Source organism: Homo sapiens, chromosome 2 (assembly GCF_000001405.40).
Source record: "Homo sapiens chromosome 2, GRCh38.p14 Primary Assembly".
NCBI lineage: Eukaryota > Metazoa > Chordata > Mammalia > Primates > Hominidae > Homo > Homo sapiens.
The window spans coordinates 64121203-64147996 of record NC_000002.12 but is presented as its reverse complement, the minus strand read 5'-3'; the positions used below and the strand labels follow the sequence as shown (position 1 = coordinate 64147996).

The following is a 26794-nucleotide window of genomic DNA, read 5'->3' as shown; positions in this document are numbered from 1 at the left end:
GGGCGTGGTGGCGGGCGCCTGTAGTCCCAGCTACTCCAGAGGCTGAGGCAGAAGAATGGCGTGAGCCCGGGAGGCGGAGCTTGCAGTGAGCCGAGATCGCACCACTGCACTTCAGCCTGGGCGACAGAGCAAGACTCCACCTCAAAAAAAAAAAAAAAAAAAAAAAGGTCTGCTGATATTTTGTGTTTATTCCTCTATACATAATTTGCCTTTTTCCTCTGGCTGCTTTTAATATTTTCTTATTATTGGTTTTCAACAATTTAATAGTGACGTATTTTGCAGTGGTTTTTGGGAGTGTGTGTTTACTCTGCTTAGGGGTCATTGAGCTGCTTGAATCTGTGGGTTTATAATTTTCATCAAACGTGAAAATATTTTCAGCTATATTACTTCAAATAATTTTTCTGTCACCCCTCTGACCCATCTTTCATCTGGAACTCCAATTACACAAATATTAGACACTTGGTATTATCCCATAGATCACTGAGACTCTGTTTTGGGGGGTATTTTTTCATTTTTTTTCTTTGTGTGCTTTCTTTTGGCTAGCTTCTACTGCTATGTCTTCAAGTACACTAATCTTTTCTTCTGAGTGTCTAATTTGCTCTGTGCCTAATCTGCCTCTGAGTGTTAATCCCATCCAGTGAAATTATTTCAGAAATTGTCATTTTAATTTCTAGAAATTCCATTTTTTATATCTTTGATTTCTCTCTTTCAGCATACTGAGCATACTTATTGTAATTGTTTCAACATTGTTGACTGCTAATTCTATCATCTCTGTCATTTGTGGCTTTATGTTGACTGACTCTCCTCCTGGTTGTAGATTACTTTCCTGCTTCCTTGTTATGTCCTAGTTCTCTTGCTACTTCCCAGGCATTTTCACGATCTTCCTGCCTACACCTTAAGTGCTGATGTTCTCTAAGGTGCTATTATTGACTCCTTTTTCTGCTGTGCATACTCTCCATGGGTGATCTCATCCATTGCCATAATTTCAACAGCCATTTATATGATGGTATATTCCAGTTATATCTTCTGCTGCCCAAATCTGTCTCCAGGGCACAAGAGTCATGTACATAACTGATCACTAGCTCATAAACACACAATCCAAAAATCTGGGATCCATCATTGGCTTCTTCCTTGCAGTAGACACTGTGGTCCACTTCTCAGACTCCATGCTTCTTTTTCTGAGTAATCAGCTCAATTTTCACTGGGATATTTGCACCTCCTCATCACAGCTTTGGTAGAAGCTGACTTCTATGGCTCTAAGGGTACGCACATGTCTTCATCCTAAGATAATTATCCTTGTGCCATCTCCTGGCAGCCATTTTTGGTTTATGTAGGGACATGTGACTAAATCATTGAGGCTTCTGGGAAAGGAGTTTTCTTTCCTTTACAAAAGAGCTTCCAAAAGTGAATCTTTTTCTTATTTCTTCTTGGACCTAAATAGCGAAACTTAAAGCTACACAAGTTGTTGGCAACCGTCATTTGACAATAAAGCTAACAATAAAGCAATTAAAATGAGGGAAAAAAAGTGCCTTTAATGACATCTCTGATTTGTTGAATCAGTCATCCCTATAGACTGCCTTTTTCCTGAACTTTCTAGCTAGATGGTTCAATAAATCTCCTTTATTGGTTAAGCCAGTTAGAGCTGGGTTTTCTGCTGCTTTCAACCACAAGCATCATAATTCATAACTTTACTTTTCCCTTCACCCCCAAACCTAGGCAATTAGTCACTATGTTCTATATTCTATCCCCTGAATAGTGTCTGATTACCCTCAGTTTTCTCTTCTGCCACTGCCTTACCTTAGTTCAGTCTCTCATGGTTTTTTCCCCTGTAATACTGTAACAGGTCCCATACATACCACACTCCATAGAGTGATCTTTCTAAAATGCCTATCTTATCAAAATTCCATCTGCTTACAATCCTTGTGTGGCTTCCCATTGTTTCCAGGAAAAGGTTCATGTTCCTTAGCATATTGTGCAAGATTCTTCATTACCTAAGCTGTCTCCCTTACCTTTTTCAGTGTCTCCTCTTGCCACTCCCCCAACTCCATTCTACTGCCAGCAATGCAACTATTTGCTGAACCAAAATACGTTTGGGTCTCACACCTTTAGGTATTTGTGCTTGATGCTCTCCCCAACACCACCCCCAATGCTCTCACCCACCTCTCTCTTCCTCCTCCCCTACCAAAATACACAAACATGTTAATTCCTAGTTATCTCAAGTGATCTTTGAAGCATTTCCTGATTTTGCCCACATCTGTGGGTAGCTTTGCATTTTCCTATTGTAGTACTTCTCAAATTAAGTCTATTTACCTGTCTCCTCCTTTGCATAGTAAGCACTCTGAAAATAAGAATGTTTCTTTTACATTTTTGTATCTCTATTTCTGGGGCTCAAAACAGTGCCTAGCACAAGTAGACACTCAACAAGCATTTTTTGAATGAGTGTATAATTATATAGTCTGTAGATATAAGGATTTCTGATCTTGAGACTCTCTGAAAGCCTTGCTCCAAAAGTGTGTCTGATTCCTAAGCATTAATCTTTTTCTTCCAGGGTGTGGGGTTCTAGGTAGGTGGAGAAGGAAAACAAAAGCGCTCAGGACGCGTTGCCTTTAGCTCTCCGGAGAGCCAGTAATGTGTCCTGCCTTTCTCCACCCTCCTCCCTACCACCTTTCCACACCTGGGTGCCCAAGATGGGTGTAGACTTAGCTGACCAGCCCAACAACATACTCATACCTTGGTTCAGACTTCTCTTATTACCAAACTAAAGTTGGCCAATACACATAAACAATTTTCAACTTGTCTTTTGAACGTATACTTTATGAAATTTGTATGTCTTAAAAATTGTAGGCCTTAAAATGAACGAACCCGGATTCTTTTATAGTAATCAAGTAAAATATAGGGGTCTTAATTCTGTACTTTGCCTTTGCTAATCTTAAAGTTAGATGTGACTAACTGAGCAAAGTAATTAATTACGGGACTTTGATAGTGGTGATATTCCTAAGTTTTATAACCTAATTGTTCAATTACTGGAAACAACTACATTTCGACAAGTCTTAGGTAAAGAAAATTGAATTTAGCCGGAGAAGATTCAATTGAGGGAAGTGAGGGACAGAGGTATTTGTGATTTAGGGTTTGTGGAAGATAAATTACGCAGCAGGGAAGACTGAAATATGGAGAGAAAGTCAGACCTCACTGGGTACTTATGACTGGTAAGGCTAGGAGTTGGAGGTGGAGAAAAGTAGGAAGGACCGTCTAAGGGTTGGATCCCCAACAACACCATAATACAAGACCGTCCTTGTTCAGCCAACAGCAGCACTGAACACGTTCGCTAAGTGTGTCGGTGACCATGGTAACGGTGGGAGGGGGCGGTCCAAACCTCGCCCTCGAGCATGCTCAGTGCAGAGCGAGCCTGGTAGGGTGCTGGACAACAATGAATCCCTTTTTTCTTCAACCGGAGAACTACAATTCCCAAGAGCCTTCTCGGTGCGGCGACACCGCCTTCCGCTGTGGCCCTGCCCGGTCCCCTCCCTCAGGCCCCGCCCCCCGGCTAGACCCCTCCCCTCCTTGCGAGTGTATGTCAGTGACCCAGAGGCGGTGTGAGGCGGAGGGACCGTCGGGGGGCGCCGCCGCCGCCTCCACTAGCAGCAGCGGCAGCAGCCCTAGTCCCGCGGTGCGGTCGAATTGGTCCCCAGCCCTCCGGGAGCGCACCACAAAGCAGCCCCAACGCCTCTCCCTGCGTCCGCGGCTCCTCAGCGCTCGGCTCCGTGGTCAACTTCCCCTCGCTGGGCTCGGCTGGCGGGCGCGGAGGGCAGCGGCGGAACGGCGGGCTGTCTGCTCGCGCTCCCCGCGCACAACACTTCACCCTCTCGCCTCGGGTCTCGGGGGCCGCTCTGGGATCCCGGCCACCAGCAATTGTCCGGTAAGTGTGACCGCGGGGCGCCGCGGGATGGATGGCGGCGGGGCCGCCGAGGGGCGCGGGGAGGGCGGGCGCGCAACTTCCTCGGCGGCTTCCCCGGCGGCCAGCAGCCGGCTCTCCCCGCCCGCCTGCGCGCCCCCGCTGCGGCGGGGAGCGGAGTTTGCGGCGCCTGCATCCCGCGCCCTGGCTCGAGGAAGCGCCTTTGTCAGGAACCGGCCCTACGCGGCCTCCCCCTCCGCCCGGGAGCGGGGCGCGCGGCGGCCAACTCCGAGCCCCGCGCCTGGCTGGCCGCGCGCTCCGGCTGCGAGAGGGGAGCTCTGCGGGTGGCGGGGAGGAGAGGGAAATGGGAGAAACAAAAGGGGCGGTGGGTTTCCCTTTTGTTTGTGCGGATCTGATAACTTCTTTTCCTCCCTTACATAACGCAGACTTCAAGTTAGTCATTCTTTTTATTGTTATGATTGTTGTCATCATCTCTGCGCGTCTTTCACATTTCCTTTCATCTTTGGATCTCAGAGCATTTTAAACACGCTAATTAATTTCACCCCCGGGTCCCCTAGGAAACAAGTTAATACGCCCGTTTCCCTAAGTGGGTAAACTGAGGTCGTGAAAAGCTCTCAAATTGATGGATACGCTTGATCTTCTACCGCGCCTCGTGTCTGAGTATATGAAAGCGTTTATGAGGAAGAACCCGTTCTCCAAAGCCCCGTGGAAAAGTTAAAGATGCTCATTTTACTTACAGGTTAACTGAAGTCCAAAAGATGTCTAGGTAATTGTTACGTAGTTCAAACCATAATTCTTCTTACATAGTGTTTGAATCTTAAAACCTCTAAAGACTTAGTGAAAAATGCTCCGAGTAGGGAAATTAATGTAAATCATAAACTCACGTCACCATCTACTTTTATTTTTGTACGTGCAGGTCTGTTAGAGGCAAGAGAGCAAGAAGGGGACAGAGGGCAGAGGTTTTTTAAAAATGTACATTTAACAGATTTTAATCACTACACACAAGGAAATGTGCCTTGGTTTTAACAGCACCAACAATATTCCTGTCGTTTAGTCATCAAACAGTATATCAACAAATGTTATTGAGAACTTTATTCATAAGGTGCTGGTTGTGCTAAAAACTGAAGCTTTATATATAAGAAAAGGTCATCTGTTTCGGTTCACAGGCTCTTTACTTTTTCTTACTCTGCAAAATGTTACTTTGTTTTCATTGCACATGATCTTTTGTTTCAGAAATGGCATTGTCCTTTACTGTGTCGAATATGTATTACTCTTACACTTAAGGATAAATGAATTTATTATTAAGTTTTCATAATAGGGTGAATTTAAAATATTTTAATTGTGGTAAAGGTTCACTTTATTCAGTTCTGTTTCAGTTTACGATGCGTTTTCTTTATAGCCAACAAAATATTTTCTGAGTGATAAGATTTACATGTCTCAAAACATTGTTCTTAGTGTACAAATACAGCATATGAATTCCTTGTTTTTTTTATTTATACCAACAACCTCTTCTGGGGAAAAGTCTTTAACTCTGAGGACCTTATTTATTTTGTGAGTTTTTATTTCTTCGGTACCATACTGGAAAGCACCAAAAATTTAAACCAAGCATCACTTCTACTAGCTCTTTCCTCAGGTAAATAATAATCAGAACTGTAGTAATAGTGAATAGTTTCACTTACTCTAAATTCTCTTAAATTTAATTTTGTACTATATAGTTGTCCTTACATTTTAGATTTTGGTGGTTGCATCAGAAAATGAAAGTGAGATGTTCGTTATTTTATTTTTTTTCCCAAAGCCTTCTAACCTGTTCCCTTTCTATAGTATGTTAAAAGAGATCTTGAGTTTAAAATAAATAATTGGAAAGTAGAACAGTTATATGTATGGAAAGTTGCATGTAGTGAAGTGGTTATAGTGTCTCATGTAGTGAATGTACAGGTTTTAAAGAGGAAACTATCACCTAGCTTTTTATTAGCATGGTAGAAGTGCTGTAATGTAATAGTAGTAGTATTTATTTGCTTCTAAAAAGTAAGCTGGAAATTTGCCTCAGTGGAATTTGTAGGGGGAGGGAATCCATTCTTTCCTTAAGATTGGCATTTAAATGTTCTTACAGTTGGTTATGTTGAACTTTTTCTGTGGTATTTTCAAGCCAGATTTACCAGGAACATTTGTACTTCAAGGAAGCTACTAACACTGTCTTGGCTCAGTCACTGGAATCCACAGGCAGAAGTTAGTGTTGACTGGCAAAGTCTGGCTTTGCAGGTTTCATAATTTCTTTGAGACCCCTTAAAGGAAATGACTGAAAAGTACGGGGTAGGAAGTTAGTCTAGTACTGCCAAATGCCACTGAGGCAAGTTTCAAAGGGGAAGCCAAAGGATGTTTCCATTTGATTTAAGTTCAGCCTCTTCTGGGTTGTCAGAATGTCACTTTTGTATTTTAAGAGTTCTATCATTTCAGAATATGATGTATTATGGTTTTCTAGTAGGTCAGGTGGTAAGGACTGTAGATAGTCATTATGCTTCGTGGACAACTAATGTTTTTAGGCAGAAGCTTCTATAGCTGATAAAGATTTTAAGCCAAAGACTTAGAATTGAAAACTAATATATACATACACATTTTACCATAATACATCAATGTAGACCTATCCTAGTATTTATTAGGTTAGAAAGGCTTTTTGGATTATTTTATTATACAGATATATTTAACTGTAAATATTAAAATTTCATAATGACTAATATATGATGGCACTGAGGTGGCTTTAGGAGCTCCTTTGGGGTGGGGGCGGGAAACATGTTATTCCAAAAGTTACATTTATGTCTTTGAGGACAGTAAAGCAGATTTAAAAGCCAGTGAGAAAAGGAAGAAAATCAGCAAAGTGAAGAAAACCTGATGAAGATGTTTTTAAATAATACAATGTAAAGATTGTTGGCAGCATTTATATATAAGGGACAAAATTCTAGTTGAAGTCTATAAACAGTGAATTCCACTTAGCACTTTCTGTTTATAGATTTCTAGCCATCTTTTCCAGATTCCCTCTGAATATATTACACAGGCAAAGTAAATAGAAGTCATTCTTTCAAGGGATTTGGGTTCTTGGAGATTTTTTTACACTTGTGGTAGTGGGGGAGGGGAAGTGCTTATTATATTTTCTTAGTTTTAAGTGTGACCTGTGCCATAGAATATTTCCCTAGACTAATGTGTGGGAACCTCAAGACAAGAATTATTGGTCATTGAAAGATCTGGATATGATTTCAAGTTCTGCCCCTAGGTTTTTTTTTGTTTGTTTGTTTTTTTTTTTTGCATGTTGTCTTGAGTAGATCACTTCTATTTTTCCTTCAAAGGCTGAAAATAACTGCCTAACATACTATGTTTAGTAGGTCCTAAATACTTTTTGTTGTTTAATGAATTTACAGGTAATAAAGAGAAAGCACAGTGTTTCTTGAATGGATGTCAGGGAATTTCTAATTTTTTTCTTTTTTGATAGAAAAAAGTAATCAAAACATAAACATCTGATTGGAGTCTTTCAGTTAGCTTACCTACCTTCAGAAATAAGCCTAGAGAAAGAGAGCTTCATCTGGTAGTTTAACAGAAATGAATTGTAAATGACTCTTAAGAAGAATTGACAATTTTTCGGAATGTTGTACTAGATGTTTTAGATTCTTTTTGCCACATAAACTCCACTTCAGAGAAATGGGGTTCTACATAGTACTCTTGTATCGCCCCTGTAATACCTTTACACCTCAAAATACCAGTTGCAGAAAAATAGAATGTGTTGCTGATGCCTATAAATGGGAAAATCCTGACATCTGTCTTCATCCTCCAGTTAATCTTCATGTAGTTTTTAAAAAAATTAATTCAACACACATGTAATTTACTTCCTTTTCAGAAAATTTGTTGCTAATTTTTATTTTATAATGAGCCTCTTGGGATGTTGCTAATTCTAAAAATATGTAATACCCGCGGTTTCCCACCATCTTCTGCAGTTTCTTTTTCTATTATTTTTTTGGCTACAGTTTTCTTTTTCCCCTAAGCTGTCTAAAATAAGCTAAGAAATGTTTAAATGTAGTTGACAAGAAACACAGTCAGTAATTTATCATGCTAAAATTTCAACATACAAGGTGCAATGAAATCTGTTTTAGGGATAGTACACTTTTGAAGGGGGCTAAAGCAGGGACAGCAAATAAATTTCGTTTGGGGTACCAAATCTGATTGTTTAGTGGTGGCTGCCTAGAGTGCTGTGTTTAGAAAACTGGGAGTCCTTGTTCAAACTTAGCAGGAAAGAGTACTGTGATTAGCAATTTCTGCTGTTGGTGAGCGGTGGACTTTTGGCATGGATGCCAAATACATTCAGTGTTTATTGATGCCGTTTACATGTCACAGGTCTAGATGCTGATACCTCATAGACTAAAATCTCTGCTTTCATGGTGTTTACATTCTAGTAATAAGACACAAACCATAAAATAAATAAAATACATTGCGTTTTAAGAAAAATGGCTGGGCGCAGTTGCTGACACCTGTAATCCTAGCACCTTGAGAGGCTGAGGTGGGAAGATCCCTCTTGTCCAGGAGTTCAAGACCAGCCTGGGCAACGTGGTGAGACCTTGTCTCTACAAAGAAGTTTCTTAAAAAATTAACTGGACGTGGTCCCAACTACTCGGGAAGCTGAGGTGGGAAGATCACTTAAGCCTGGGAGATTGAGGCTGCAGTGAACCATGATTGCACCACTGCACTCCAGCCTGGGCAACAGAGCGAGACCCTGCCTCAAAACAATAGAAGTTAAAAAATAAATAAAAGAAAAATGACCTGATTTATTCAAAAAATTAATAGCAAGAAATAGGGAGGGAGAACTATAAGATTAAAAGAGACTTAAGAGGCTTTTCCACCAAATGCAATGTATGAAGCTTAGTTCTATCCTGCTTTGAGCAAACTAACTGTAAAAAGACATTTATTCAAAATTGGGGAAATTTAGACTCTGGATATTTAATGAAAAGGATTTGTCCATTTTTTCAGGTGTGAGAATGTACTTTTTAAGTGTTCTTTTAGAGATGTATAATGAAGTGTTTACAACTTAAAATGTGATGTGTGGGTTTTTACTTCAAAATATTGAAAGGGAGAGGAACATAGATGAAACAAGATTGGCCATATATTGAAAATTGCTGAAGGTAGATGCTATATGGATACATGAGGTTTCTTACTTCCTCTTTATTTTTGTGTATGTTTGAAATTTCCCCTAATAAACAGTTTTACACACAAACAGGAAAATAAAGCAGGGAAGGGGAAGGGAGAATAAATGGGATATGTGTATGAGGTTCGGAGGAGGATGCAGTTTTTTGCTTTTTGTTTCTTGTTTTTTGTTTTTGAGATGGAGTTCTGCTCTCATCACCCAGGCTGGAGTGCAGTGGGGCGATCTCAGGTCACTGCAAATTCTGTTTCCTGGGTTCAAGTGGTTCTCCTACCTCAGCCTCCTGAGTAGCTGGGATTACAGGCACACGCCACCACGCCCAGTAGAGTTTTGTATTTTTAGTAGAGACAGGGTTTCACCATGTTGGCCGGACCGGTCTGAAACTCCTGACCTCAGGTGATCACCTACCTCCGCCTCCCAAAGTGCTGGGATTACAGGTGGGAGCCACCACACCTGGCCAAGATGCAGTTTTAAAGGGTAGTGAGAAAAGACTTCATTGAGAAGATGATAAATAGTTAAAGTGAGTAATGACCTGAAGGAGGTAGCACAGCAAGCCTTGCAGGTCTCCTTGGAGCAAGACATTATACACAGAGGGAATAGTAAGTGCAGTGGCCCTGAGATGGGAGCGTGCCTACAACTGCAAGAAACTACAAGAAGACAAGGGTGTGAGCCAGGCATAGTGGCTTGCACCTGTAGTGCCAGCTACTCAAGAAGCTGAGGTGGGAGGATCATTTGAGCCCAGGAGTTCCAGACCAGTCTGAGCAGCATAACCAGATCCTGTCTAAAAAAAACAAAACAAAACAAAAAAAACTAGCGTAACTAGATCAGGGTGAGCGTGAGTACATAAAATCAGCATCAGCATGGGAAAGGAAGGTTAGAGAAGACTAAATTGTGTAGGGCTGGTTATCCATCTTTAAAGGAAAAATATTTTATACACTTATCTAAAATAAGTCTTATACTTTAGAGTAGTCACCATGGAAGCTATACACTTAACAATACTAGCATTACTCAATATTTTTAGAAAAAAAAATTTTTTTTGTCGTCTAAGCCAGTTTAAGAGCCACACGTGAAAATAGCTCATTACTTTGTATTTGCTCCTTGTTTTTAAGGAAAAAAGGGGTGATTGGCCACGTGATATTTCATGTTATTTATCAGATATGACTCACAGAGGATCTTGACAGAAAGAAAATGGGAAGTAACTTGAGGCTATTTCTAAAAATCAGATCCAGTCTGAGAAGGCAGTTATTGTTTGTAAAAGTCAGATCCACCCATAGACTAAAAAGGAATTTTAATAATGTTGTGGATAATTGTAGCATCATTTGGAATAAGGGTATATAACCTCTGAGAGTGACTAGTATGGAAGGCACCATACTAATTTGGATATTTTAAGGTCTCACAAAATGCGCACACACACACACACATACAAGATCATATACAATTCTTAATACTAAGTATCAAAACAGTAATTTCAGGTAAATTTCATTTATATTCTGCATTCAAGACTAAAGGGATGGTATTTAAAACACAGTGAAATTGTTTAAGTCTTGTCGCTATGGCATACACTTGGGGAAGGAACTAAAAGACTAACACATGTTAGTGTTAAGAGATGAATCTGGTTCTTAAGTCTTCTTATATTCATGCTTCATTTCTCAGATTAGTAGTTGTTTTGAGAACATTCTGATTTACCATAAGAACTGTTTTTATTAAAAAAGGCATAGGAAAAATTGGATCTCATCTAAATGTTTAAATGCCCCCAAAAACCTCAATAAATATGGATTGTAAAAATCTACTCTCAGGACAATATACATGTAGGATTACTAATTTTGAACAATTACTATACTAGTTCATTCTTTAGAGGTACAGTTTTTCCAACCTGAGAAACTAAACATTTCAGTGATTTTTACTCTCCTGATAATATTGAGTAAAGAAAGCCATTCTTTTTCTTGTTATTTATGTCCAATGGTGGGGGAGCACAACGTTTTCATTTGTTTTGTTTTGTTTTTGAGACAGAGCCTTGCTCTGTCACCAGGTTGGAGTGCAGTGGCACAATCTCGGCTCACTGCAACCTCCACCTCCTGAGTTCAAGTGATTCCCCTGCCTCAGCCTCCCAAGTAGCTGGGATTATAGGCGCACACCACTACGCCCAGCTAAATGTTTGTATTTTAGTAGAGACAGGGTTTCACCATGTTGGCAAGGATGGGCTTGATCTCCTGACCTCGTGATCCACTGCCTCAGCCTCCCAGAGTGCTGGAATTACAGGCGTGAGCCGCCGCGCCCAGCCTCATTTGTATTTTTAACCAATCATTTAAAATGTAATGCCATGAAGTAGAACTTATGAACTTTTATTATGTAGTTAATTACATAGTGACCACTAAGAATATAAGTATATAACTGTGTAAGGAATACTTTAACAAAGCTTCCTATTTTAAACATTTTTCAGTAAATTGTTAGGAATCTAGTTCTTTAATTCACTCAGAGTTTTTGTCCCTTTAGTGTGTGTAGATGTATGTATGCATGTGTATGTATAGATAGCCAGACTCTCTTACCATATACTGCACATACTATCAGGGCTGAGCTGCTAGACTAGATTATTTAACGTATTTTAAACACTAGTTTGTTAACATGGAACAACTGAGCCCATATTTAATTCCTGGGCTTTCCATTAACTCTGAAAGTCTTTTAAAACCTTTGATTCATCTAAAAAAAAAAAGTGGCAGTGGTTTTTCATAAAGATCTTTGAACTTCTATGATGATGACCATACTGAAGTGTAACTTATTTTAGAAAGCTTTCATTCAGGCTGTTGATTTGCTGGTAAGATCATGAATCTGTTTTTCATTTCCATTTTTGTGGAATAAATGAATAACTTCTGACGGAAGAGAAAGAGAGGGAAGGCAGCAAGAGAAGGAAGGAAAGGAAGAAATTGGATCTCACAAAATAGTAAATATAAGTATGGATAATTCTCTGAACTTGGATGTGCTTAAGTGTCTATGACCTAATGAGCTAAGGCTCAGATGTGTAAATTAAGTAGAGAATAGAAGTAATAATACACCTTGCATTTGAAGAGAAGTTATTGCTTTGCAAAAGTGCATCTTACATTTCATGTTGACTTAAACCTTATGACCATGATAAAATCTATACTTAATTTTGGAAATAATAATGAGTAACAATAATTGAGAGATTATTTGAAAATTCAATCTATTAAGCTTTGTAGATTTTTACAGCAACAGGTTCAAGGTTATTCTTCTCAGCTTGTGCATTGCAAGATACTTGTAATTTCCTGCCTGTCTCACTTTCATCTATTCATTACTCTGCCAATAGCTCTCTTTATCATCCTTTGCCAGCTTTAGTCATGCCTATTGCTCTTCAACAGCGTTTTCTATGTTTGTCTGCCATTTTTATACTTATAAAGTAGACTTGGAATGAATTAAGGTTATAAAGTAGTAACCTGTGGATGGCAAGTACAATACTTTTCCTATTTGTGCCATACTTAATCTTTTTAAACTTTCCTTGCCTATTTCTGGTGTGTGCCTTGGTGGAGATCTCTCATCAGACACTAAGAGATAACTACATGACCTGTAGGATGCAATACTTTTTTAACTCAATAATGTAGGAAACAGTAGGAAACAGTTTGAGTTTAAACTCAAACTCATTGAGTTAATCCTGCATCCATCCAGAACCTACATACCTAAACTAGCAAAGTTTGATAGTAAAATTAACAGCCTAGTGGAATTTCAAAAACTATTTTCAGCTCTTGATGTTTGTTGTCTTTTCTAAAAATGTCAAACAATTGGGGACCTCATCATTACTGTAATACTAACCATATATGACCTTAGGGGAAAACTGTACTTCTGTTGAGCATCTCTTTGACAGTCAAGAGGAAAAGATAAAAAGATAAGTAATGTGGTAAAGAAGGTTATAACTTCTTCCTTCCACAAGAATGAATTATGAAGTGACTGGCCCTGATATTTTTCTAGTAACTCATTGTAGTGCTCAACATATCATTTGGCTTAATCTTTAGAAGGCACAGTTTAATTTTATTTTTTAACAATAAGTGAAAACAATTGAAAGTGCTTTGTTGGTTTTTCAAAACTTTAATGTTGAATTCCTGGTTCTTGGCAGATACTATCCGTAGTATTTCATGTTCCTCTGGGTTTATTTCAGATTTAATGAACTGCATGTACTGGAAGCACTAAAAGCTGATTGGCTTTAATTTAGACTACAGTTAGCATGATGGATTTTTCTTTGAATTGTTCTCACTGTCATTCTTTAAATTTACCATCAAAGGATCAAAACATCCAAATTACAAAACTAAGTTTATCATTCATGAGAAAATGTGTTAAATACGTATCTTTTGTAAAGTAGCGGCTGCTTCTAATTAGAAACCGGTCCTATAGACATACCTTATGTATCAAAAAGCTTTTTAAATATACTTACTGCTTTACTGTTACTTTCATTTAAAATAGGATGATTCAGTTTCTGAACTAGCCCTGTCTGTTCTCCAAAGGAACTAGGATGAATTTTGAGGAGGGGCTCTTAAACTTTGAGCAGATCTGTAACTTCATTGAGAGCAGACATTTTTAAAAATTCATCACTGACATTTATTCAACAAAAAGAAGATCAGATTTTGCTAAAGCCTTTTGGTTGTGTCTCTTTTAGAAATAACGTGTTGATTTAGTTGCATATAGTTCAGCTCTTAAGGACCAGTCTTTAAGGCTTTAGCCAGAATTTGTCTCCTAAAGCTGACTTTAAAATGGCTTCCAAAAGGATTTGCTGAGTTTCAGAACTGAGTAGGCTGCTAATGATTCAGTAGGCCCCCTCATTTTCCTCCTACTCCTTAAATTGAAGGCTCCTTCATACCATCTAGGTACCCTGAGTCATCATGGATAAACTCTAAAGAAGAATTGTCATATGGAAAAACTCTACATGAAGTAAGAATGTCAGAAAGCAGTCTGAGTCAGAGATCATTCATTGCTCACAATGATAAAATCTATAGGTTGTGGGCTTCATTTTAAATCTTTTAACATACTTCCATGTATGTCCTTATTATAGGATTATAAATCCTATAATGCCCATAAAACCATCTGAGGTGTTTATTCCCAGTTAATTTCTAATTGGTTTGGTTTTTATTATCTATTACATGAAAAGGATTTTGTATTTTTTATTGAATAAATAGAGAGGAGAGGCAATATGATACAGGATAAAAACCACTATATCAGAAGTTAGGGGACCTGGAGTTCTGGTTTATCTTCTCAATATGTGACCTTATATATTTCATTTAACCTCTTTGAGCTTGAGTTTCCTTATCTTTACAAGGTCAGTAACTCCATCACTCACACCCTCTTTGGAACCAACCCATGGCAGATACAGCTAGTAGCTGTATCTGTATCGGTATCTGTATCCCAAACCAGTTTCAGGTAACTTTTTTATACAGCACTGTCAGAAACTATATATATAATTGCCATTCTGATGAAATCTCTTTGTCATCTCAGCTATATTGGGTCTCTTCCAGCTCCAGGATTCTATGACTTTAAATAATTTGCCTATAGAAAGTCTCTCTCTTCTATCTATACTGTCTCTTCACATTGAGTGCTCAGGGTTGAAACTCACTGTATGAGCTTAAGAATTCTTTGTAGTCAGGGATAGCATGTTTATGTTTCATTTAGTGATGTTAAAACAAATGATTGAAGAAAACTCATGGGGGTACTTAAAATTCCAAATGAAATGGTAACAAATAACAATGTTTAGTGCTAATTTGATGGAAACTCATTTTAAGTTCTAAATGTTTATGGCACAGACCTCAGGTTAGTGAAATTCGAAGTGATGTATTTGTCTGGAGGGCACATGATGAAGACATAGGAATTCTAGACCAAGAAATAAAGAGGCCTGAGTTCTAGCTTTGCAAACTGTTTTTTTAACCTGGTTAGTGTCTTCATCTATTGTAATGGTATCAGACCAGTGTTTTTCATTAATGTATTATACAAATTACCTAAGGATCATATTATAATGCATATGCTAATTCAGTAAGTATGGCTGGGGCTTGAGATTCTTCATTTTTAGCAGGCTTCTGGGTGTGCTACTGCTATAGGCCATGGACCACACTTTACTTATAAAAGTACTATGCCATTTCCAAGGCTCCTTCTGGTTTAAAGGGTCTTTAAACTATAACTCCACTTCTTTTTCTCCAGCTCTTTCGTATCACTATTAAATTTGTACTTTTTGAAACCACATATTCCTAGACTTATTCCCTATTTTCTCAGTCTGAGAGCTCCATTAATTTTGTTGTTTTTCCCTTTCCAGAATGAACTTGACATAGGTGGTCATTCAAGTTAAAGCTAAGGTAGTATAATAGAGTCTTTAATAAGAAGAAAACTTTATTCAGATGCCTCCCCCACTAATTGGTAGCTCTTTTGCCTTGGACAGTTGACTCAGTTTACTTAATCTCAAGGTTCTGAGAACAAGCCTCACCGGGACTTATTAAATCCCTTATCCAAAATGCTTGGGGCAAAAGGTGTTTTGGATTTCAGATTTTTTCAGATCGTGGAATATTTGCATTATACTTGGAAGAGCATTTCCTTTGAGAGTTGTGTTAGCACTTGAAAAGTTTCAGGTGTTGTAGCATTTTGGATTTCAGATTTTCAGATTAGGAATGCTCAACCTGTATCTTCCTGGTAAGGTTGTTGAAAGGAATAGAGATAATATATAAAGTTCTCAGCACGATGTCAAGCATAAAGTAGGTACTCAAGAATTGGAAGCTATTTTTATTATTTCTACTGGCATCCTGACTTGGTCTAGTGGAAAGAGAAAAAGGAGGGGGAAAGATCTGTTGCCAATTCAGTACCTTTCTCTGTGAGCCAATTTAAATTTTCAACTGCTTATTAGACATATTAACTAAAATTCTTCAAACTTACCATAGTGAAAAAGACCTCTGTTTTCTTTCCATATCTGTTCTGCCTCCTACAATACTGGTAGAGATTACTGTTTCTGGCTGGGTGCAGTGGCTCATGCCTGTAACCCCAGCACTTTGGGAGGCCAAGGTGGGTGGATCATTTGAGGTCAGGAGTTCGAGACCAGCCTGGCCAACATGGTGAAACCCCATCTCTACTAAAAATACAAACATTAATTGGGCGTGGTGGTGTGTGCCTGTAATCTGAGCTACTCCTGAGGCCGAGGCAGGAGAATTGCTTGAACCTGGGAGGTGGAGGTTGCAGTGAGCCAAGATGGCACCACTGCACTCTAGCCTGGGCAATGGAGTGAGACTCCGTCTCAATTTAAAAAAAAAAAAAAGAGAGAGATTACTATTTCACTCTCTACATGCCGGTTAGGATCCTGTCGTTTCTGCCTTTGTTTCTCGAGTACAGTTGGCCTTCTGTATCCATGGAATCTGCATCTGAGGATTGAACCAAGCATGGATCAAAAATATTTGGAAAACAAATATAATAAAAAATAACAATACAACAATAAATACAACTAAAAAGTACAGTATAACAACTATTTTCATAGCACTTACATTTTATTAGGTATTATAAGTCAGAGGTCCCTACCCCCAGGGCATTGACCTGAACCTATGTGTGTATATATATATGTGTGTATATATATATATGAATTGCTAGAACTTTTTGACCCCTGAGAGCTTTAAGAATATATCAAAATTTAAAATTTGGCACTACTTTAACAAATTTAATATAATATCTTATTATTAATTTTCCTATTAGCTTTAGTAATGAAATTTGTTGATAGCTAGTTTTTTAATGTCTTAAGCAAACTGTGCTTTTGGACCAAGAAATTCATAAAGAACCATGAAAACGAAGGTTCTCTCCTAGGTACTCAGGGCCTCAGGGAGAGATAGGAGTAAAGGGTTATGAAGGGCAGTAACAACAGAGTCTTTATGTGTTGATTTCTAGAACTGATTTTAGTCTGAAAATGAAAACCCAGTTCTTACCAAAAAGGAAAATAAGTTACCCATTGTGTTTTACTCTTCCTTTTTAACACCCAAAGTATGAAATGAAATAAAAAATAATACATTATGGCTTCTAATATCATTTAGATAGATTCTTCTATTTCCTGTGTTATATTACTGTGTATATGAATGAGCACATCTGTTCCCAAAAGGCTTTAACATTCTATAGTCTCTAGGAAATTTTATTTTTTTCTTCAAAATTTCTTGAATAAATTTTATAGAAATATGTATGCTTTTTTATGCACCAAATTAAAATGAAGATTTCGTAAGATCTAATTTAGCAAACTTTTTAATGTCTTTCCCTTATTTCTTCAATATTAAGTGCTGCAAAATGAGCAAGACAGTTTCTCCCTTGGAGGAGTGTTCAGCTTTAATAGAAGATAGCACAGGGTCATATGTAACTATAATATAAAACTGGATAAGGCCCATAAAAGAATTGCAGATAAACTATGGGAGCTCAAAAAAGATTATACCCAGTTTAGGGAATAAGGAAAAACTTTCAGACTGGGAAAAGAACATCAAATGGGCCTTGAAATACTATTAGAATTTTTTACAAGTGAATAGTGATAACGTTAACAACACTTGTTTGCTGAGTATTTATTACATATTCAGTTTCATTTTTTTCAAAAATGTCTGATATATGAACGTAGCATAGTGGCATATGCCTGTAGTCCCAGCTACTCGAGTGGCTAAAATGGGAGTAACCCAGGAGTTTCAGACTAGCCCGGGCAATACAGCCAGACCTTATCTCAAAAGAAATTCTTTTTTTGATATATGTGATATAGAGAGTAACAACCATGTCACTTTAAATTGGGGGGAAAAGTTGGGAAGAATCTGGAATTATGGTGGATTCAAAAGACACATGATTCAAAATCTCAAAATCAAAAGTCACATAGCTTATTGGGACACATCAAATGAGAAGCTTTCTACTGCAGCCACCACAATAATTTTTCGTAGTATATACTAGAGTTGAAAATCATTTCTAACAAAAATTACATTGTGTCTCTGGAGAGGTAATCAGTGATTTGCATGAAAACTTAATAGTACATACATTGCCTTAAAAAGTGCTACTTTAATCTTCTATCATTTAAGAAATTCCTGTGACTTTATGTGGATCATCAATACAAGCAATTGTAGACTATATTCTATTATACATATTCTAGAATCAGCAATGTATTTATTTGTTTGGTGTTTACGTAAGTCTTAGTGTGTTTTATAAATAATAGGAGGGTTTGTTTAAAGTGGGCTTTTGAAGATACAGTGTGACTTTAAAAGAATGGTCTTAGAAAACTTATAAATAGCCTAAATATGTACTGAAGAACATTTCATAATCACAAAAAAAGAAATAATATATCTCATGAATTATTAAGAATTTGTTTTTTAAATAAAGTCCTCTTTTTGAAAAGGTATTAAGAAGAGGAATTAGACAAAACTTGTTTGAATATGGTTGTAATTGCAGTTTACTGAGTTATATATAAAAAAGCCCAATTAGTTTAAACAAATACAGTATCTGGGTTTATGGTATTCTGAGCCTCGTATTTTTTCATTGAATGTCAGGGGTATATTAAAATGCCTCCCTTTATGTTTCTATACAAAAGATTGTTCTGACAGTAAGTTTAAGTGATTTTCACAACTTATTGCTGTCTAAAAATTTCCCTTGACTTCACATTTTGTTCTGAATATGTTGGTTTCTTTCCTCCACCCACACAATGTTGAAGGCAAGGGAAGCAAGAGTTGCAAAGTAATACAGTGAATTTGAGAACCCTGGCTTTTTTTCAAAACAAAATAAACCTTTATTATAAGATTGCTTTTTATTGATACCAAAAAAGGGTGGCACTTTGGCAAATGGTCAGTAAGTGTATGAATAGCCTAATTGATTTAGCTGGAATGAATAAGAAGCTTTGCTATTTGTCCTTGTAGATAGTTGGCTCAGTAAACATTGTGATGGTGATAGACCAAATTTTCCATGGTGAAAGGTAAAACAGAACAGCAACAAAAAACTCATCAAACTTATAGATCCAAATATCAGCAATTTTGTGTCTGTGTCAAGGTCTTCAAAGAAGGAGCAATGTGTTAATTAGGATCTCATTTGAATTTCTATAGTGAAAAAATAATCATTTTAACTTACATAAAACCCAAGAGTTTGACAAATGTTACTATGTGAAAATATTAATAGAGGAGATCCTTGCTGAGAATTTAAATCTGCATGAAATTCATAGATGTGTGTAGAAATTTAAATTTATCATACACTCCGCAGTAAATGCCAATAAAGGTGGATGGCATAATTAGGACAAAGATAACAGTAGAAGCAAAATAAGAATTTTTTAAAAACCTTATGGATGTCACATTAGTCTGACTCAGTCTGTAACTCTAGTTAGAAATGTAAAATTTTAGGGATTTTTGGGCTACTGTAAGAAAAGAATCTGCTTTGGGGGTGGGATGTGAGGAGAAAGAAATGTTTGTGGCAATTAAGATGTATATAGTATATTTAAGAAGTACATTTGCAATTCTAATCACTTAGTTCAAAAGGAGAAAAATATATCATGTGTAACTTTATTTACTTTTAATACTATTATTATTATTACATGATTGAAAATAGAAAATCTTGAAAAATTCTAGAGGGTAAAAGTGTTATTTCTAATTCCATTAGCTCCTTTTAAGATAGGAACATTTCATATTAGTCTCCTAGCACAGAATCTGAACCATAATAGGCACTCCATAAATGTTTACTGAACTAACCTGAATTTTAGAAATATCAGGGTGCAAAGCAGAATTATTTTTCTAGGCTTTAAAACTATACCACTGCTCCTTACCCCTGTACACACCTTCGAATCTCAGTTTTGATACAAATAGGTTCTCAGTTTTGGGTGTGAAGAAAACTGGTTGATATTTTTTTTTAATCTACTAAATGTTGGCCAGAGCTGAAATTGCCTGAAAGGGAACTTGATTTAGCAGAATTCCTTCTTTTCAGAAAGAAGGACTTAGACTAAATTATATGAACGGGAGGAGCCTGTTTTTATCTGAGATGGTTGATTGGAAAAAGAATAGATAAACTAAGGTGGAGAGTTGATTTGAAAAAAGGAAAAAAGATAGTCCTGTCTAGTGGTCAGTCCTAACAGTGTGGTTAAAGGGGAGCTAAATTTCAACTTTCAGGGGTCAGCTGAGACAACCACCTAGATTTTCCAAGTTAGTTCCAATTTCAAGTACAATAATCCTTTGACAACATAGAAAAGAATTATAGTTAGCAAAATTGCAATTGTCACAGTCAAGGTCTTGTTGGTAATAGAGGGTTGGGGAAAAAGTTAAAACAGCATTAAATGAATATATTTTTAACATAACAAAAGTTCCCAGAAGACATCCACTTCAAATTCAAGCCATATTCATCAATGTTAAAAACCTTACTCTTCTCCCTGATAGTGTGAGGAAAAATAAAATAAACTTAAAATAAAAAACAAGAAAACCTCACTCAACATTGTTTGAAAAACATAACTGTGATGTTATGATCTACTAAAGCATGGTATCCCAACAAATTTCATACAGAATCATGCCTGTCTGAAACTTTACATTTTTTGTAGAGACAAGGACTCACTCTGTTGCCCAGGCTGGCCTCAAACTCCTGTGCTCAAGCAGTCCTCCTGCCTGGGCCTCCCAAAGTTCTGGGATTACAGGTGTGAGCCACCTTGCTCGGCCTCAAATAAACTCTTAATGGCTTGGAATTTAACAGGTCTTGTGCTTTCATTCTCCTTTATTTTGTTGTTGTTGTTTAATAAATATCAGCACAAGTGTTATTTAACAACCTGGACTTTTACAAATTAATAGGCGTTAAGGGAATCTTTTCTTTGGTCTTGGTAGTCTATCCATCTTTCTAAGAGTATAAAGAGATTTTTCTTTACTATACAGATGTAAAGAGGAGTTAATAATTGTCATACTTTTTGTTTTTTGATTCAGCACTTCCTAACAGTCACTGAGCTTACAAAGCCATGGTTCATGATTTCCACAAACTTACTTTTTATTTATCTCCTAACCAAACTCCAGGGAACCTACTGACTTACCCTTTCCTGAGAACACAATATACTTTTTACCCCTTGTCTTTTTTATCTTTATGCGATTGTTTCTTCCACCTAAACTGGTTTTTTTTTTTCACTTATCAAAGTCCGGTCTGTCTCTCAAGGTCCAAATTGAATACCTCTGCTATGAAGCTTCCTCTTGTTCCTCTTCCTCCTAAGTAATAACACTTTTCTTTGAAGTCTTACGGTATTTATGGTCTTTTGCATTAATATGATATCTGTTCTATACTGATTTAATTTACATCCTTTTTTAGTAAACATAAGTAAACAAATGTTTGGTATAGGGAGGCATACCTTTTGCATTAGTTTGAATACTCCCATAACTTCTGACCTTATAGTGAATGCTCAGTAATATTTGTTGGGTTAGTAATTGTGTTGTTGGTGACTCTAGATGCACTAAATTAAAAGTAGGGAGACCCGCTGGGCACAGTGGCTCATGCCTGTAATCCCAGCACTTTGGGAGGCCAAGGCAGGCAGATCACGAGGTCAAGAGATCGTGACCGTCCTGGCCAACATGATGAAACCCCGTCTCTACTAAAAATACAAAAATTAGCTGGACATGGTGGTGTGTGCCTGTAGTCCCAGCTACTTGGGAGGCTGAGGCAGGAGAATCGGTTGAACCCGGGAGGCAGAGGTTGCAGTGATCTGTGATCGTGTGACTGCACTCCAGCCTGGCAACAGAGTGAGACTCCGTCTCAAAAAAAAATAGGGAGACCACAGCCCTTGGTTTAAGAACTGCTCCAACATCAAAGCAAATTAAACTGCAAAGAAAGCTCACAATGGTTATTAATAGAAGAAATCATTAATTAGCATTTTATGGAGAGTATAGGTTGAATATATCCCTTAACCAGATCCTTGGGACCGGAAGTGTTTTGGATTTTGGAATACTTGCATATATATTATGAGATATCTTCGGGATGGGACCCATAAAATTCATTTATGTTTCATATACACCTTATACAAATAGCTTGAAGACAATTTTATACAATATTTTTATTAATTTTGTGCATGAAAGTTTGTGTTAAGTACTTACATGTGGAATTTTCCACTTACGATGTCGTGTTGCTCAAAAATTTCAGGTTTTGGAGCATTTTGCGGATTCAGATTCGGGTTGTTCAACCTGTACTAATCTAGGTACTTCTGTGGTGAAGGGATATCATCATCTGTTAACCTAGGTATATTAGTTATTAGAAGATTTTGACTTCTAGCTATTTAACCAAATAGAACTATTAGCTAGCTAGAGGGACAGGCTAGGTAATTAATTAAAACATTGGGTATTTATATTAAATACCAGGCATTGGATTAAATACCAAATCTGTTGGTTTGGTAATGTCTTTGTCCTCAGAGGGATCAAGTGAAACTTATTGGTCATGGGATTATATTGAGCTATGTATTTGAATATTCAGCTTACTTCGATGCTGTTGCTGTGGTGTAATACAAAAATCTATTTGGTCTTTCTACCACGCTGTCTTCCTGGCACAGAGTTCCTATAATGCTGAGAATTTTTTTGAGTGATAGGATGTCTTTTATTATTTATAACAACCCCCTTTCTGATCATAATAGGTAACTTAGGGTGGGGCCCTGAGATGGCATCAGGATGGGGCTGGTCGCCAGAAGGACCAAGAAATTAAGAGGGTTGGGACTTTTGTCTCACCCAGTGACCTCTGGGAAAGGGACAGAGGCCTGGAGATTGAGTTTTTGGGTTGGTGAACACATCAAGTTGCTGGGAGGGTGGCATTCCTGGACAGGGCATGGAAGCTCCACTGCTCTACCCTCCCCGCGCCCCCGCCCCCACCCCCACATACCTTGCCCTGTGCATCTCTTCCATTTGGCTGTTCCTGGGTTGCATTCTTTTTAATAAACCAGTAAACATAAAAGAAGTGTTTTCTTGTTCTTCTGTGAGCTGTACCAGTAAATTATGGAACCTGAGGAGGGGGTTGTGGGAACCCCCAATTTATAGCTAGTTGGTCAGAAGTCAGGTGGTTTGGGACTTTGATTGGCATCTGAACTTAGGGGAGTCTTGTGGCATGAGCCCTTTAACTTGTGAGATCTGACACTAAAGGTAGATAATAGTGTCAGAACTGAATTGATTTGTTGGATGCCCAGTTGGTGTCAGAATTGGAGAGTTGGTGGTTGATGTCAGAGAGAACACTCATTGAACATGATGCAAGATTATCAGCAAAAACATAAACAAAAAAGCACATGTTTATGATTAAAGCTAGTCTGAAACAGATTATGAGATTTAAAATTCCAAACCTAAGTGTCAATTTCATAATTTCTGGTACAAAAAGCACTTCATTTGGGAAAGCTTTCAGTTTTGCTTGTGAAAATTTATCTTGTAGAATGTTCAAATGATTAGTTTCCCTCAGTTTCTCTGGCCAAGAAGTAGGAGTTAACAGTATCTAGAATTTTTAAAATTTATGTAGGTTATAAAGTTGCATAAGATCGGTAATATATTTGAATTCCAGAGGTATGTGCCAGCTTCCAGTGAACCTTGAGTCTATAGCAGGCTTTTGTTTTTAATGTGCTAGAGCTTTATTTGCTTGCTTGCTTGCTTCGCTTTATTGAGGTATAATTTTTATACCATTTATGTAAACACTTAAAGTGTACACTTCAGTGGTTTTTAGTATAGTCTCAGAGCTGTGCAGCACAATCAATTTTAGAACATTTTCACCCGAAAAACAAATCTCATGTCATAGCCTTTAGCTATCATTCCCCAATTTCCTATTTTCTCCCCTTTCTTTCCCCTCCCAGGCAACCACTAATCTACTTTCTTTCTGTCTCTGGATTTGCCTTTTCTGGACATTTCATATAAATGGAATCATACAATATGTGATCCTTTGTGACTGACTTCTTTCACTTAGCAGAATGTTTTCCAGGTTCATCCATGTTGTGGTATATATCAGTAATTCATTCCTTTTTATTGCAAAATAATATTCCATTATATGGATATACCACATTTTGTTTATCCGACTGTTGATGGACATTTGGGTTGTTTCTACTTTGGGGCTATTATGAATATTGCTGCTGTGAACATTAATGCACAGTCTGTGTGTGGACATAGGTCTTCATTTCTCCTGGGTATATACCTAGGAATTGAATTCCTGAGTCACATGAGAACTTAATGTTTAATCTGGAGGAACTGCCAGAGTGTTTTCCAAAGTAACTACACCATTTTACTTTCCCACTAGCCATGATTGAGGACTCCAGCTTTTCCACATCCTTACCAATATTTGTCATTATCTGACTTTTTGATAATAGCCATGGGTTTGAAGTGGTCATTGTGGGTTTGATTTGTATTTCCCTAATGGCTAATGAGCATCTTTTTATGTACATATTGGCTATTTGTATATCTTCTTTGGAGAAATAAATGGATCTTTTACCAAATTTTAATTTCATTTATATTTTATTGAGTTATGAGACCTTTTTAGGTATTCTAGATATAAGTCCTTTATCAGATACATGATTTGCAAATAATTTTTCCCATTATGTGGGTTACCTATGGCAGTACTTTTGATACCTAGCTTTCTTTTGTTCGTTTAAAGAGACTGCCAGGTAAACACAGCCCACAAAGTGGGAGTATGAACAGCCAATTTAGGAAGGCAGTGCTCTATCTGGTGAGCAAAAAGAAACAAATCTCCATGGTATGCCTTTCATTAAATTTTTGTCTGATTTTCAGCTTTTTCTTTGTGGTATAAAATTATAACAACATATAGAAAAGAGTGGAGCTAAAGTTGAACACTTGGCCATCTCCTGTAATAATACACAGTACAAGGTAGGAGTTACTTATTGGCTGACTGCTCTGTTCTTTAGTGCTTGTGGTATTGCCTCCAAAATTAATGAAACAGACGCCAACATAGGAGTCCCAAGATCAGTTAGCAAGCTGCACTACTTAGCCCTATGACTGTCATCAAATAACTTACCCTCTCTGAATATAGATTTTTCTCATCTATTATAAAATGAAATTGGAAGGAAAATTGAACAAATTGCACAGTATATTCTTTAAGGTTCTTTCCAGCTTTAAAATGTAATTATATAATACAGTAATACAGTGATTATTTTTCTTCTTAAACCTTGTTGAAAAATCTTAGGCCTAATGTACATTTTCTCAAAAGGATTGGAGTTAGATGGATTTGACAAGTAAAAAACTGGGCATGTTTCGATATTCAATACAAATGTACTGTAGAATAGCAAATGCCATCTGCGTGAATTTGCATTGTGGGATGGAGGAACGTGACCTAAGAGTCACCAGTGGAGTGGAACTAAAGGAAGAAATAATTTATGCACCTGCTGAGGGTGTGGCTAGAGGTAAAGGGACTGTGACGAATGAGTCCTTGATTGCCTTCTTGGAAGTATTCAGAGATCATTAAAGAAGCAGGACGTTCTCAGAGGTCAGTGTGTCCAAGGGTGAAACAAAAACCTAATAAGAAAAATAGGTCCGTAAGAAAAGAGACATCTGAAAAGGCCTAGAAATTGTGAGGTAAGTACACTTTGTTTTGTTCGTTTTTTTTTCTGGAGTTTTTTTTTTTTTTTTTTTAAGTTTCAGAGTACTGAAAGTTTATCATTTTCCCTGAGCTCAACTGAGGTAATTGCTAGAGGTTCAGACATCGTAGAGGAAAATACGGAAGTTTAAGACTTTTGTAAGCCAAGCAGGATATGGAAGAGTAGGGGAAAGTCATTGAGATTCAGGTTCATTTGCCAAAGTTTGGTAACTTTGATTCCCACCAAGAACACTACTTCAGGTTTTGGTTATGTTTTGTTTTTGTATTTGACTGGCCTCCATGATGTTATTAATTAAACATCATTGTAAAGAAAGCATATATGAGAAGCAAAAAGAAAGTTGTCTTTTTAAAAAATGTAGTTTTGAAAAGAAAAGCTTAGAAATTTTATTCTAACCCTTTTTTCTTTATGAATACGATTATTTGTCCCATTATAAAAATAGGTCATTATAATACTCTTTTTTTTTTTTTTTTGAAGACGGAGTTTTGCTCTTGTTGTCCAGGCTGGAGTGCCATGGCGTGATCTCGGCTCACCACAACCTCCGCCTCCCGGGTTCAAGCTATTCTCCTGCCTCAGCCTCCCAAGTAGCTGGGATTACAGGCATGTGCCACCACGCCTGGCTAATTTTATATTTTTAGTAGAGACGGGGTTTCTCCATGTTGGCCAGGCTGGTCTCGAACTCCTGACCTCAGGTGATCCACCTGCCTTGGCCTTCCAAAGTGCTGGGATTACAGGCGTGGGCCATGGCACCTGGCCAGCTCATTATAATACTTAGAAAATATGGAGATTTTATCTTTAATGTCTTTTTAGAACTTTTTAAGAAAAAAAATATTTCCTCAAGAGATTATTTGATATAAACACAGATCTTTAAAGACATAAGGAATTTTTATACTCTCAGTGCTCTGTTTTTAATCATTAAGATGTTAATGATGATATAAGGACTATTGATATCTTGGTTTCCCTAGGATTAAGCAGGAAATATACTTCCAAAGTTAAGAGAGTTGGTATGTTGGTCCAAAGAATGGCAGGACCTCAGGTTTTGTTATGGAATCAAGTATAAGACATTGAGAGTCAGCTACAACTACATTCTATTTAGTATGAATATTAAATTTGTCATGTCCGGCTTCTTGAGCAATCTCATCAGCCCGGAATCACATGACAAGGCAGGATCATCAAA

The 26794-nt window shown here is 37.5% G+C and overlaps 1 protein-coding gene across 4 annotated transcripts in view, besides 5 other annotated features; it reads left to right on the top strand.

The window, feature by feature from the left end:
* Nucleotides 3350-3409: a silencer, noted in NCBI's record as "silent region_11551". NCBI's record gives its function as "represses an Ori minimal core promoter by ATAC-STARR-seq in GM12878 lymphoblastoid cells {active_cell/tissue: GM12878}" and the evidence as "EXISTENCE:reporter gene assay evidence [ECO:0000049][PMID:35858748]".
* Nucleotides 3500-3689: a silencer, noted in NCBI's record as "silent region_11550". NCBI's record gives its function as "represses an Ori minimal core promoter by ATAC-STARR-seq in GM12878 lymphoblastoid cells {active_cell/tissue: GM12878}" and the evidence as "EXISTENCE:reporter gene assay evidence [ECO:0000049][PMID:35858748]".
* PELI1 (pellino E3 ubiquitin protein ligase 1) overlaps nucleotides 3577-26794 on the top strand; it is a 51769-nt gene continuing 28551 nt past the window's right edge. For 2 of the 4 annotated variants that reach the window (XM_017004520.2, XM_047445137.1), the window contains exons 1-2: nucleotides 3577-3916; nucleotides 4471-4679. The gene's annotated coding sequence lies outside the window, so the exon portion shown is untranslated. Of the gene's footprint in view, nucleotides 3917-4470; nucleotides 4680-7210; nucleotides 25598-26794 lie in introns of those variants that run through there. The other 2 variants (NM_020651.4, XM_011532994.4) reach the window with 2 other exon arrangements.
* Nucleotides 3770-3839: a silencer, noted in NCBI's record as "silent region_11549". NCBI's record gives its function as "represses an Ori minimal core promoter by ATAC-STARR-seq in GM12878 lymphoblastoid cells {active_cell/tissue: GM12878}" and the evidence as "EXISTENCE:reporter gene assay evidence [ECO:0000049][PMID:35858748]".
* Nucleotides 3980-4049: a silencer, noted in NCBI's record as "silent region_11548". NCBI's record gives its function as "represses an Ori minimal core promoter by ATAC-STARR-seq in GM12878 lymphoblastoid cells {active_cell/tissue: GM12878}" and the evidence as "EXISTENCE:reporter gene assay evidence [ECO:0000049][PMID:35858748]".
* Nucleotides 4060-4129: a silencer, noted in NCBI's record as "silent region_11547". NCBI's record gives its function as "represses an Ori minimal core promoter by ATAC-STARR-seq in GM12878 lymphoblastoid cells {active_cell/tissue: GM12878}" and the evidence as "EXISTENCE:reporter gene assay evidence [ECO:0000049][PMID:35858748]".